Consider the following 15606-nt stretch of genomic DNA (forward strand, 5'->3'; position numbering starts at 1 on the left):
AAAATAAAATAAAATAAAAATTATTTTATATTATCTGATTTCATTCTCTGAAATGTCATATCATTTTTTTAGATTCTTCTTTTGAGACTTAATATATTCTAGTTAGGGCAATAGTTAATTGTATACAAATCTGTTTCTCTGCTAATGTCCAATTTCCTTGAAAGCAAGGAACATCTTTTATCTTTAAATGTATACTTTATGTCCTACATACAAAAATTGTTCAATAAATGTTAATAAAAAGAGAAAGGTAGATATTAAACAAAATGATTAAACAATAGTGTTCTGTGGTATTAATAAGGAAAAAAATTAATTTGGTAGGAAATGTATGTACTACAAGCCCATATTCCAAAGTGCTACAATTTTCACTAAGGGGTGATCTGAGAGATGAGGACAGAGTCTCTTAAAAATACGTCTCATCTGCCTTTATGCTCTAAAAGCTAATATTTGTTATGTGGGGCAAAGCTCTTATTTGGAACATTTTGTTCATAAATATGCAAATACCCTTGGAAGGAATTAATCTTTAGTACAAATGAGATGAACACTGAGGGCCTACAACATGGAGATTTGGTAGAGTCAGGTGAGAGGAATATACCTAAAGCACGGAACAGAGAAAGAAAGGTGGAAAGGTTTGCAAGACAAACTGAGCCAACCTTACAATCATCCATGAAAATCTTAGGCAGCTGTAAGAGGGTTGACAACAGGGTTCCAGTGTCACACTACTTAGATTCAAGTCCTAGCTCTGCTGCTTTAAAGACTATGGACTGAGTTGTATCCCCCCAAAATTCATACATTAAAGCCCTGAGCTTCAATGTGTCTGTATTTAGAGATAGGGCCTATAAGGAGGTTAATGAATCATTTAAGGTTAAACGAAGTCATAAGGGTAAGGCTCAGATCTGATAAGATTAGTGCCCTCATAGGAAGAGGTGGCAGAGGACTCTCTCTCCACCATATGAGGACACAGCAAGAAGGCAGCCTCCTGCAAGCCAGGAAGAGATCCCTCACCAGGAACTGAATCTGCCAGCACCTCAATCTTGGACTTCCCAGCATCTAAAACTGTGAGAAAATAAATTTCTATTGTTTAAAGCCACCCAGTCTATGGTATTTGTTATGCTATGGTATTGGTTATGGTGGCTTGAACTGACTAATACACTCTCTAAACTTTAGTGTTCACATATCTAAAACAAAAATTTGCAGGAAAAAATAGACAGAATAGCCCATGAATAGCACATGGTATAAAGTAAGCTATATCTACTGAATTTTGCTTTAAGTAACAAGCCTTCAAAAGGAAAAGCTAAAAAAGGATATAACATGAATTCTATATGAATAGCCCTATTCATTACTAAGTGCCTCTATGTGCAGCAAGGATGCCCTTGTCACCCTGAAGAAGTCTAAAGGCTACACAATACATGTGAATTCCTTACCATCGAATATCAAGATGTGTTTGAAAACCATCATCAGAGCCAATGTGTGAAATTTCTGGATTATTGTAAGACACAGAAGAAGAGTAACTGGTTGCTTAAAAAATGAGACTTCCTCTATGCCTTTCTGATCTTAAGATAGCTGTTGAGTTTTTTGTTTGTTTTATTTTTGCTATTTGCCTTTATTTGCACAAGAAGATTTTATCTGGCTTCCTGGAACATCACAGGATTTTGTTTTGTTGTGGTTTGGTTTGCTAATTTGTTTTATTTTGGCCTTTTGCCTTCATTTGGAAGGGAAGTTTTTATTTGGGTCTCTGGAATGATGTAGGAGATGTGTTAAAGTCATATAGACAATATTTGAATATTGTGCCTTTGAATTTATATAAGGTAAATTTGATTTAGTAAAGTTACTCTCATATATGAGGATCCACTAACTGTGAAAACTGCTCTGTCCTATGTATCACCTTATTTGAGTGATGGAGCTGGGTAGACAGATGTCCTCATCCAACTCAGTGTGGATCACTGGAATTATGAACACTACTCCCCAGAGAGTAATAGCCTTCTTCAGAAAAGGATAAACTAAAAATTTGTAACTAGGACAAGCCCTGAAAAATAGGCAGCTCAGGAAAGGAAAATAACAGAAACAAAGGTCATAAAGACCCTATATTAGAAATCCTAGTGTGATATAAGCCAAATATTGGCTTAGAGTTGTGACATGCATATTTAAAACAACACAAAGAAAAACTTTAAACCTAATATAAATAATAGCTAGCAATACATCAAATCTACTATGTTTTTAATACAAGTGCAAGGAAACAATTTTCTGATTTATTCAAGTTTAATTCAATCAAATCATGAAGCTATGGGTAGATTGCAATATCATTCAAGGGATTAAGCCACTAAATTCAATTGGGGCTTTAAATAGATTATCTAGATCAGTGTTTCATGAAATAACTCAGTAAGATAATTTCAACACTCTTTTAGATATAAAAGTAGACACATTCATTTGGTGCACTTATCACCTAGAAACATCATTAACTGCACTTTTAAATATTCCTTTTGCAACTTTATCTATTTCAGGTTTAGGGGGAGTACTTTGAGCATGTTGGGCATATGGCAGAGATGGCTTCATGTTGAAGGGTCCATGCTGAAGGTACACAGTAGTATTGGGGCCACCTGGAAGCAGTCAGGATGTGCATAGGTTTTAAAAGGCAGCTTCTCCTGTGGACTTATCCATATATCTATACAAAATGCTCTGTGAATGCGGGTTGTTTGAGTCTTAAGAGGTAGTCTATGCAATGATTTTAAAACTGTACTCATGAAAATGTAAGGAGATCCTTTGAATGTCCTGGGAAATAAGGGAAGAAGAAGAAAAAGAGAAAGGTATGAGAGGGGGGATTCTGAGACTTTCAGCCCTGACATCAACCATTGTAGTTGTAATTGCTTTGCTTTATATTGTGTTCCCATTCATACCACATAATTTAATCGGGTTAAAAATAAAACTGAATGAAAATACAGGCTTATAGAAAACAGAAAAGACTCTTCACATAGAGTGTGAAGAACAGTAGACTATTGAATCACTCTGTAAAAAAAAAAAAAAGCGTCAGCCCTCTAATGAGTTCCCCAATTTCTACAGACTATCACCTTTTTGGAGAGATAAAGCCCTAACAGCAAAAATCCCTTTAAAAAGAAACACAAAGTAACCAGGATAACCAATAGTTAAAGGAACCCTAATTCTGGATTTGTTTAAAATTCATTCAAAACAAACTTTTGTTCATTAACCTATTAAGACAAAGGTAGAGAGGGTTTAACTCAACCGGAATGAACAACATTTTTGTACTAAGGGAATTGTTCTATAATATGAAGATGTCTTTCCAAGAAAGATTAAAGCTTTAAGAGAAATATATAATTGGTTGACCACTTATTACCCGGAGTATTTTCCTTCTTTGAGGACTATTGTATTTTTTAAAAAGTAGCTATTTTTATTTTAAAGTTACTTGATTAATAAAATATTTAAGAATATGTCCAATCAAATATAAACGTCAAGATCAAGATATAGAGGCATATAGACCACCTGTCTATATAGAGAGATGGATAGATAATTTTCATTTAGTTTTATTTTTAACCTGATGCATATATATCTTTATCTTGCTGCCATAACAACCATGAAATAAATGAATTGTATTCACCACACCCAATAGAAATTGGCTTCAGTGAAGAGGGCTGTTTCTATTTGAATATAGGAATAATTTGTTTTATTTTATTTTATTTATTTATTTATTTATTTGAGACGGAGTCTTGCTCTGTCGCCGAGGCTGGAGGGCAATGGTGCGATCTCGGCTCACTGCAAGCTCCGCCTCCCAGGTTCACGCCATTCTCCTGCCTCAGCCTCCCGAGTAGCTGGGATTACAGGCGCCCGCCACCACGCCCAGCTAATTTTTTTGTATTTTTAGTAGAGACGGGATTTCACCTTGTTAGCCAGGATGGTCTCGATCTCCTGACCTTGTAATCCACCCGCCTCGGCCTCCCAAAGTGCTGGGATTACAGGTGTGAGCCACTGCGCCTGGCAGGAATAATTTACTGAAATGAGTTCATTCAAATCTATTTGAGGCAAAGAGTATGACCTTAGGCAATAAAATAAAATCACTAAATTTCTGCATTAAAAAGAAATTAAATTCAATGTAATAGATGTCGCAGCTATTAAGATTGATTTTTGCTTTTAAAAATTCCAAGTAAGCTGGGGATAGAAGGAAAAATACCTTACCATAATGAAGAGTATCTACCAGAAATACCCACCCAACATTAACCTTAATATTGAAATGTAAATGTTTTCATTATTGTAAAAAGGCAGACCACGATGACCATAACCATCATCACTCTTCACAATTTTACAGTATATCACAAACAAAAGATATTGAATTTATAAAGAAACACAATGAAACTGTCAAGTTTGTTGATTATACGGCTTCATAACTAGATTATCCAGGACAATTCATGAAGAACAAAAACCTGGTGAGAATTTTTCTGAAGTATAGCATTCAAAAGACAACATACAAATATAAAGAAACAAGCTTCTTATACAATAACAGTTATGTTATATATTTGTTAATATATTATACTATAATATTATCTTATTACAAAAGAACTTATAAGAATGGGAGAAAGACACATCAAAATAGCCAAAAAGTCATAAAACAGAAATGAATTTAGCAAGCATTCTTAAGATGTTATGAAGAAAATTCTAGAGTCCGGACTAAGGAAAGGTATGCCATGTTCTCATATGAGAAGAGCCCATCTTGTAAAGACGTTTATTATCCCCAAATGTTCTAAAATAGTTCACTGCAAGTCAAAATCTCTGTAGGTTTTGTGTGTTTGCTTGCTTGTTTGTTTATAAAGTTTGACACACGTTCTCACACTCATCTGAAAGAGAAAGTGCACAAGACTAGCCAAGAAAAATCTGAAAATAAAAGAGGTAAGAGATGGAGGTAAGGATGGGCATTGGGAAATCTGTCTTTAATATTATATGGGTTAGAACTGTATTGTCAAACAGGAAAGGTCAATAAAAAGAATGTCTATAAATACAATATTATCAAAGAATAGAGACTCCCCAAACATACACATGCATATGTAGAAATTTATATTTCCAAGAAGTTATTTCAATGTATTAGGAAAAGAATATATCTTCCAATAAATAAGACTGGAACCCATTTGAAAAAAATTAAATCTTAGCTTTTTATGATAATATAATAGTAATTTCCAGGCAGCTTAAGGAGTTAGAAAAGTAAAAATAATTTAAAATCTATAAAAGAATAGCAGAAAATATAGAATATTTAATATAATTAGGTTGGGAATGCTTTTCCTAACAATACATAAGAGCCCAGAAAGCATTAGCAATGTAAAGATGAAAAACTTCTGTTCAATGAAAGCTATAATGTTCACAGGTGAAAGCTAAGTGAAAGATAGCAAGAAATTATTTGTGACAGAAAATTGCTCAATGGTTGTAATAGAGTTCTTAAAATTATACTTCTCAACAAAGTATTTTTAAATAGCAAAGGCTAGGAACAGATAATTTACAGGTGAAATACAAATTGTCGATAGATTTATTAAAGGAACTCACCCTAATTAGTAATCAGGAAAGCAAAAACTGAAATAGATACTACTTTTTGCTCACCAAATAAACAAAAATAATAAAGGTTAGTGAAATCCAGTATTGGCAAAATTGCAAGTAAGTGAGCACTTAAACACTTTTGGTAGGAATACAAATCAATAAAGACATAATAACAGTGGGGTAATTTGACAGTATCCAAATTTTAAATGTGCAACATGTAATGTGTTACACTTTTGACAGTTAATGGTAGTGAATCTTCTTTTAAGAATTGACCCTTAGGGCAGGGTGCAGGGCCTCACGCCTGTAATCCCAGCACTTTGGGAGGCCGAGTTGGGTGGATCACCTGAGGTCACAAGTTCGAGACCAGCTTTGCCAACATGGTGAAACCCCATTTCCACTAAAAATACAAAAATGAGCCAGGCGTGGTGGCAGGTGCCTGTAATCCCAGCTACTCGGGAGGCTGAGGCAGGAGAATGGTTTGGACCAGGAGGCAGAGGTTGCAGTGAGCCATGGTGGAGCCACTGCACTCCAGCCTGGGTGATGGAGCAAGACCCTGTCTCAAGAAAAAAAAAAAAAAAAGAGAGAGAATTGACCCTATGGAAATACTTCCATATGTGCAAAAAACAATTCAAGAATGACTCTTGTGGCATTGTTTGTGATTGCAAAAAACCGGAGTTTTAAATTTACATTAATAGGGAACTGGTTAAATAATTTATGGTAATTTAATTCAATGGAATACTGTGCACCTATTGAAAAGTATACAATAAACATTCATATGCTGATAAAGAGTTTTAAGACAAAGTGGAGAAAACGGTAGAATAATAGGTATGGTGTGATCTCATTTATACTTTTTTCTTAAAGTTCACATACATATATGTACACTAACATGTACAGACATTAAAAAAAAGACTAGTAAGATATATACCAGCCTGTTAATAGAATAGTGGTTACTTCTTGAACCATTGTGGGAGAAGATGGGTAGGAAAGTTCAAAGTGTATGCCATATATGGCTTGAATCTTTTATAGTAAGTACGCATTCATATATTATTTGGTCAACTTTAAAAATATCAACAATTCACAAAGAATTTTAAAAAGCAAATCACATTTAGTTCATAATGTCTTATGGTTTTAAAGGTCCTCATACCTCTGTTTATGCTTACCAATGAGAATTATTGGTTTACCCACTGGCTGTTTGGTGTTGGTTTACAGGCTAAGATTTTATTTTGCTTAATGTGATTTTGTTTTCATTCTTTTAGGCAATTCTTTCATATTTCTTTGTCTTTTTTTTTTCCTCCTCAAAAAGATCTACTGAAGTCTCCACAAAATAATGTAGTAGCAGAGAGTAGCCATTAATTTTTGTGATGGTAAAGGGCATTGGTGTGTTCTTTTGAAATCCACTGTTTCTAAAGTGGCAGTTTTCTAGTGTCTAATTCACTTATTACCCCCACCCTTCCCTACCACACACACAGTTCCATTTCGAAATCCAAATCTTCTGTCAAAATTCAAGGTAAACAAGTGACAGAGTTCCTTCCTCTTCCCTTACTTAGCATCCTGCGTCACACTCAGGGCTTGGCTTTTACTTAATCTTAACTCCTGCCCAATGGGCGTGGACAGGCAGCCCCACAGAATCGGCAAGGGCTTCAGGGCTGTAGAAAGTAACTTCTTAGAAAGCAAGAAACCTGTTTGGGGACTGGAATTTTGTGTAATACTTGGAACAACAAAACACCAGCATGAAATCTAGGTGATTTTCCCCAGGGCTTCAAATAAAATCCAGACTCCTTACCCTATCCTTCAAGGTCCTGCATGTTCTAGCAGATCCTACAACTTCATATCACCCTGGTCACGCTGGCCTTCCTTCTGTTCCTCCAGCAGGAAGCAGTTCCTCCTGAGGGCTTTTGCACTCACTGCTTCTTCTGCCCAAAACACTGTTCCCCTTGGCCTGTTTCATTTGTCTTCTCTCTCTCTCTCTCCAAATCCCAGTTCAAATATTACCGACTAGGGAGGTCCCAACTCAACCCATTGAATAAAGGTGATAAGTCACATCCAGATGTGGATGGACGAGCTCTAGGGAGAACTTTCACCTTAGTGTTCCCCAAATAGACACTCCTCCACTCTGCTTACCTTCTGGAGCTGCCTGGATTCGCTCTGCCCCCTATAGGGGACTTGTCTTTGAGAATGGTAAGTGGATCGGCAGAGAAAGGCCAATAGGAAGCAACAGTTGGAATGATCCTCACCTTCTCCACTTTTGTTTTCAGAGTCTAGAAAGTTATGTGTGTGTGTGTGTGTGTGTGTGTGTGTGTGTGTGTGTGTGTGTGTAGCAGAAGGAACTACAGAAGATCAGTAAGGTAACTTCTTAGAAAACCAGAATCCTCTATTTTATTTCTTTTCCTGACTGTTTACAATTTGTAAAAAAAGATATGAAACCTCAATTGTTTTGAGATTCAAATGTAACACAGGGAATAGTATACCAGTCATTTTTGGGTGCCCATAACCTAGCACAGAGCCTGACTTATAATAGGCAGCCATAAACATTTCTCAAATTTTATTTAATTGACATAAGTCAAATATATACAGTTCAGGGTAGTAAGCACAGGAGAGAAACCAATAACAATATAGCCCTCTAATAAATCCATACTATTTGTTAGACTCCTCAGTAAAGAATAGAATCGAGTATATATTGGTTTGCTATATATATCAAATACATATATATATTTCTCTTTCTTTCTCTCTCTCTCTCTCTCCATCTGTATATCTCCAGTCATCCCTTGATATCTGTGGGGGATTGGTTCCAAGATCCCTGCAGATACCAAAATCCACACATGCTCAAGTCCCTTATATAAAATAATGTAGTACTTGTATATAATCTATGCGTATCCTCCCATATACTTCAGATCCTCTCTAGATTACTCATAATACCTAATACAATGTAAATGCTATGCAAATAGTTGTATTGTTTAGGAAGTAATAACAAGAAAATAAAGTCTGTACATGTTCAATACAGCTACAACCATCCATTTTTATTTTCTAATATTTTCAATCCATTGTTGATTGAATTCACAGATGTGGAACCCATGGATACAGAGGACTGACTGCATATATATATATATATATATATATATATATATATCTCATATATTTATTTATTTCTGTATATGTATGTGTATATATGTATATGTATATACATATGTGTATATGTAAGTGTGTATATGTATTATTGAAGTCCTAAGAAGACACTAGCTGAATTTACAGACTGGAAGGGATCTTAGAGTCATCTCATCTACTCCCTTAGTTTGCAGGTAAACAAATGAAGGCTCAGAAAAGATGGCAGTCTTGCTCAAAGGAATAGAGTAATTTAATGGCAGAACTATGACTAGACTGCTTGGCCTCCTTGAATTCAATTCTGCAAGCACTTACTGAGTATATATTTATAATAACAGGCAATATGCAAAATGTTTCCAATTTCATACAAACCGTAAGAAGAGTATGATATTTATCATTCTTTTCAGATGAGGATTCTGAAGCCAACATACTTGCCTAAGGTTAACAGCTAAGACCCAGAACAGCCAGAATTAGAAACCATATCATCATTTTCCAAACATGAGAAGGTTAGCCACTCTGCAATACTGTCTCCTGTTAATTGTGCTAACCCTGTGAGAATGTAAAAATGAGCCAGATCCATGCCCTCATGGGGAAAAAAATCAAGTAGGAAAGATAGAGACTGACAAAAAAGGTTTTGTGTGATTACAATTAAAACAATAATTCTAACAATACTATGGATTTACCAAAGAGGATCAAAGTATTTCTTCTATTAGAGCTCAGCTCATACGCCTAAGAAGTTTACAATCTTGAGAAAGTGATGACAAGTATATAGCTAACCTTAATAAAAGGAAGATTGTCAATTATTGGTTCTATCTTTTATGGACTGAATTGTGTCCCCCTAAAAAGATACGTTGACATCCTTACCTTTGGTACCTGTAAGAGTAACCTCATTTAGAAATGGGGTCTTTTTAAGGTGAAGTCATTACGGTGGGCCCTAATCCAATATGACTGGTGTCCTATAAGAAGATTAAAATGCCATGTGAAGATGGACACACAGGAAGAACCCCATGTGATGATAGAGGCAGATTTGGGATTGTAAACTTTGTAGCTGCTAGTCAAAAAGCACCAAGAATTGACAGCCACCACAAGAAGCAGAGAAGAGGGAATCAAGGCTTCTGTGCAGAGTCTCAGAGGGAGCATGCCCTGGTGACACCTCCATTTCTAACTTCTAACCTTTGGAACTGTAAGAAAATAAATTTTGGGGTTTCACCGTGTTAGCCAGACACTGAGTTTCCAGAGGTAGCCAGCTAGGACTGCTCCCTACTCATCAACGGAAATGTACAGAAGCTACGGGACAAACACCTGACCTCCTGCTTCTGCTAATGTCAGCCAGAGAATGGTCCACTTCTCTTGCTTGGTAAGAATACTATCTTCTGCTTAGGAGAACTGACTTGCAGTGTCAAGCAAACCTATCAGTTCTCATACACATGCTCATTTACACCTCTGATTGTAAAAAGGGGGATTGTTGAGACAAAACCAGTAAAAAGAAGAAAGCGCCAAGGACTAAGCAGAAGACAGTAGCAATTATCCAGGCTCCAGATACCTTGTTTCTTTCCCTGGCTCCACCACCTGTCAGCCATAGAGCTTTGAGAAAATCAGTGCCAGTTTGGGGTACATTTCCCCTTATAACCAATACAGGAAGAAATGCCACATCATTATGAGAATCAAAATAAATGACATAGGCAATAGAAAAGGTCTTTGAGAATGCAAAGTCTTATGAAAATTTAGGAGTTTAAATGTCCCCTGAAAGATGCTAGAATTTGACACACAATTTACACTTCCCTGGTACTATATTGCTGAAGACCATTATGGTTCAATTCTACACTTTCCTGGTACCATATTACTAAAGACAATTATGGTTCAATTCTACTATACACACCATGATGATAGTGACATAGTGTTCCAAATCTAGATAATGCTGTCACTTTGGCTATAGAATAAACTTCAAACTCTTTAACATAAGTTTGCAACACCTCCCCTGACCTGTATTCAGCATTCTTTCATAGCTGAACATCACTGTGTGCGTGCTCTTACATGTGTCCTGCTTACGAAAGAAGTAAAGCCTACTGGTGATGCTTGGGCTCTTAGCCCCTTGCACAAGTTATTTAACTGTGCTTCTGTGTGCTCATCTGTAAAATGGGACCAATAACACTGCATATCACAAAGTAAAACACAACAGTGCCTGGTACATAGTAATTGCTCAGCAAATGCATCCTACAGTTATCACTGTTATTGCTTATGGTTTACACTCCAACTACTCTGGACTGCTGTGTTCCCTGAACAAACATGGTCCTTTCCAGGTTCTGACCTCTAGCTACAGAAATTCTCCCCACTCTCCTAGCCCAACTTAAATGCCACATCTTCCCTGAAGTCTCGTCTGATATTCCCAAGCAAACATGAGCATCCCCTCTTCAAATAATCCAAAGCACAACTTGGGGATCTCTCTTATGATAAATCACATTTTGCCTTGTTAAAATTATGTATACCTGTTTTTTCTTCTTGGGAGCTCCACCTCCAAGACAGAATTCTTTTCTCATTTATTTTCTGTCCCTCTAGCACCTAGAAGAGTGGCTTTTTCATGAGAGCTCATCAGTAAACATTTGATGAATACATTCATAATCTGCCCAAAGCTCTGACAGTTGACTTATTTTTACAGTGATTCTTTACTTTGGGCAATGTAGGTGTTTGTTGGATAATATTTACTGTGTCTTTAATATTTAAATGTAATTTATGCATTCTAGGCTGTTTGGCTTAATTGCAAGACTATAGAATAATTTTGCTTGAAAAACAAAACCCAAAACAATAACTTTGTTTTGAAAGCAAAACCCAAACACAGCAATAATGTACACTTTATTTCTTTGATGATAAGGTACCATCAATTAAAATATGTACTGTTGATTTACTAACTGCCTTTCAAGAAAAATTTCCATATTAAACACATCCATAGATGGTAAGACGTATCTTGATTTCAGAAATGTAAAGTTGGAGAAGATGAGCATTCAGAATGAAGAGTGTGCTTTGCACAGCCCACTCCATGCTCCAAGATATGCACACATTGAAGTAGAGAAAGAACAAGATTCACCAGGACAATCCTGTAGGGTACACAGCTCCCATCTCATTTGTCTCAGACTTCTCTTTTTCTTTTCAGTTAGACTTCTCATTTTGTTACTTCTGCCTCTGGAATGTCTGATATCTCTCTCTTCTTTTCCATGACCACCAGCAGCTTCCTAGTTGAGGCCCAAAGTTCAGTCCTCAACACAACACAATAGATGGCAACTGGTCTCCCGTATATGGTCTTCCCAACCAAACTATTCCTATCTAATAGTGTCAAGTTCCCATAACTGTTGATTTAGATTTAAACTTCTTAGCCTTGCATTCAAAATCGTCTACAATCTAATTTGTACCTAATTTTTCAGTCTTAGCTTTTAGTCTAAATATATTGGCTTCCTGCTGCAAGATATGACAGCCTTCCTCCTGACAATTCATCTAGCATTATCATATCTCTGTATCTTTGTTTAAACAGCTCTCTTTCTAAAACCCCCTCCCCATTCTCCCCATTTCTATTTTTTACCCCCTTGATTTTGATTTTTTAAATTGACAAATAAAAATTGTATATATGTATGGTGTACAGCATGATGTTTTAAAATATATATACATTGTGGAATAGCTAAATCAAACTAACATGCATTATCACACATATTATTCTGTGGTGAGAATACTTAATATCTACCATTTTGACAGTTTTCAAGTATATAATGCATTGCCATTAACTATAGTCATTGTGTTGTACAATAGGTCTATTGAACTTATTCCTCCTGTGTAACTGAAATTTTGGATCCTTTGACCAATATATACTCCACCCCATCTTTGTTAAAATTTTTTTCACTTAGGAGCTGAGTTTAAATGCCACCTAATCTTTGAAGTATTCCCTGATGGAAGCAACCAGAAATGTCTCGTTACCACTCCTGGACTCCTATAAGATTTAGTTTTTGCCCTACTCACATAGATCTTGACAAATCAGCATATATCGCAGTTATTTGTTTGCAAGGCATTCTTCTATTAGGACAAGAACCTCATTTTACATATATCTATGATATGTAAAAATTGCATAAATATAAATCAAATAAATAAAATATTTGGAGCAGATAATTCAGTTAATTGAATGTCACATAATGGTTTCTGAGATAATATGGAGAAAGTCAAAGCTGATAAAAATGGCCAAAATTAAAAATCTTATTCTAAACTATTTCATACCCTCACTGGGTGAAACACTCAAAAGTTTTGTAGATGTATGCTGGGCATGTTGAGAATGCATTGAGAGATACAACAGCTATTGTTCCTGACAAATTTGTCTTCTTTAAACTAGGTAGAACCTGCGCAATGTGGAAATAATAAAACACTGAACATTCTTGGGTTCAGGGAAGGAGAAAAACCAAAGCATATGCAATCACCAAAATACCTTTGTTTTAGATTAGCAGTATCAGAAAACGACGCCCTCACCCATTTTACAGGAGGACTGAGGGAAGCAACTTATGCCCTTCCTGCTAATGGTACAACAAGCTCTGTAACAGAATTTCACCCTTCTTCATAACACTGGAGAAGAATAAAAATGAAGTATGCGTAAGAGATTTACATCTGGAAAGAGAGTAATTACTGGCCAGGACTGATTAAAATTCTTACTAGGACCTCAAAAAAGTACACTGATCATGGCTAAGCAAGGAAAGGAAAACATAACAGCTGCTCACCAGAGCACGCGCGGAGGGAGGAACAAAGACAGCAAAATATATCACTGGCTTCTAGCCACAAGTTAAGAAACTGAATGAAGGAAAAGCCAGATTGTATGGATCTGTCACTTCTATCTATGATATGATATTCAACTCCACAATCAGTGTGTAGGACAACACTTTCATTCGGTGATAAGCGGATTGTTAATAGTTCCTAGTCTTTCTTATGCTGCTGTATTTTATCCCCCTAAGTAATTGCTATTTCTGGGTAAAATGCGTTTTCTCTTTTGTCTGATTTATAACACCTCACAAAAAAATTCTGTATACAATACACACAAATGCATAATCACATAGGGAATGTTTCCTTCTCTCTTCACCCTGGAAAACAGACCCAAAGGCTTATACCCAGAACAAGCAGAGTGATTTTTTTTTTTTTTTGCCAAGTATTGATGCCCCTCTTTCCCTGGATTAGCGAGTCAGTTTATTAGCTGGATTTTAGAGATTTTTTTTTTTTTTAATAATAGATGCCTTTGAAATCCTTTCTAAAGTGCAAGGATTCCACGATCAATAAGTGTTCATTACAATTAACTTTGATTTGTTTTCCAACTACTGAAAACTGATAATATTATATTTATGCCTTTGAATTTTTCAAAAAGTAAAACTTCTCTTAAATACGAAATAGTTCATAAGCGCATAGACCATTATAGATTTTTCACTCTACACTGTGTCCTTTGCTTATGGCTTGCTATTCTTTGCTTAATGGTTTAGCTTTTGAAACATGACTCACTCTCCCAAGCAACTAGAAAACAAAAACCCACCTAAACTAGTGAACTCCCCAGGGGAGAAAATAATTGTATTTGTATGGAATGCCAGAGGTGTTTAGAGACATACTCAGAGGTAAAATAGCTTTTGTCATTTTTCAAATGAGCCACGCTAGCTTAGTCTAAACTTTCCTTTTCCCCACTTTTGAAATGTGATTTCCCTGAGGGCAGAAAACATGTTATGGAAACTTTGGACCACATAGGACGCTGAAGATCATCTAGTGCTTGCTCAACAAACCCAGAGGCCCTCTTTATCATACTTCAAGTAAAAGTAGTTAATTATTTACTTATTTCCATGAGTTCCTGAAGGACTTGGGTGCAGAGGGGAATTCGCTCTTATTCTGCTTTTAAGTACTGGTAGCCTGTCAGTTTGATTTAGTTTTGTAATTCTCGTTCTTTTTTTAAACTTTTGTTGTTGTTGTGCAAAAACTCTAACAAGATTTGCAGAGAAACACAACACATTGGTATGCAAGCCAGGTTTGAGAAAAAGTAGGGCAAGCTGAGAGGAAACCAGTGGACTCCCCAGAAGAAATTGTACTTGCATTAATTTTTCTATTTTTATTCCTTTTTTTCTTTCCTAGAGCTTGTGTTTGAACACTGCCAAGAATAAGCAAGACACAATGGGCTTTGCGAAGGGAAAGAAAAGAAGATAAGCACTGAACCCAAATGCCAAGATTATAAATGGAATAAAATTTCCTAAATTCTATGAGTGTTTCATCCCTAGCTTTAAAAATGCTGTATCTTTTTTTTCCCCCCTTAACAAGGCTAACTCAATACACTCTGCATATTTCTTTTTGTTTTATATTCTTGGTAGAGGAAAGGCCATTATAAAGTTTGAGCTGGGAGGACTTTTAAAAAATCACGCAATACAGTGCCCTCATTTGACAAATATGGACAATTTGACACAGGGGGTCATTGGGAGTAGCTGCGGTCAGGCACTGATCTTCTGTTTCCCAAACTGTTGCCCTTCCCACCAAACCACACTACCTTTTACTGGAAGATCATGATTAGAACTTTGCCTTTTTAAAATTTTTCCTCATAAATTCAGCCTTCCAAACTTTTAATCATTCTTATTCCCTTTCAACTAATCTCTAAAATTTTCAACATGGCATAAGGCAACAGATAACTTTTCAATAAAACATAAAATAATTAGCTCATTTGTTCATAATGGTATCAAACATTCCCACTTTCTAGCTTTACTTTTAAAAAAAAATTCTAATAGAAGTACTTGTTTGCTATTTTCTGACTTGAGACCAAATTCTCATGCATATATCTGTTTTTGCTCTTTTCCAGCTTATTTTCACGTACTACAGATCAGATTGCTGTTTAATACTGAATCCTGCTGCCTACTTCCTGTCATCTGTCCATCAATTCAAAAATGAATATATAGAGAGAGATGTATTTCATAGTATCGACAGGACAAATTTTCTAAAGAC

The 15606-nt window shown here is 35.9% G+C and overlaps 1 annotated feature.

The window, feature by feature from the left end:
- Nucleotides 7577-7626: a silencer, noted in NCBI's record as "silent region_12027". NCBI's record gives its function as "represses an Ori minimal core promoter by ATAC-STARR-seq in GM12878 lymphoblastoid cells {active_cell/tissue: GM12878}" and the evidence as "EXISTENCE:reporter gene assay evidence [ECO:0000049][PMID:35858748]".

This window comes from Homo sapiens, chromosome 2 (assembly GCF_000001405.40).
Source record: "Homo sapiens chromosome 2, GRCh38.p14 Primary Assembly".
NCBI classification, from domain to species: domain Eukaryota; kingdom Metazoa; phylum Chordata; class Mammalia; order Primates; family Hominidae; genus Homo; species Homo sapiens.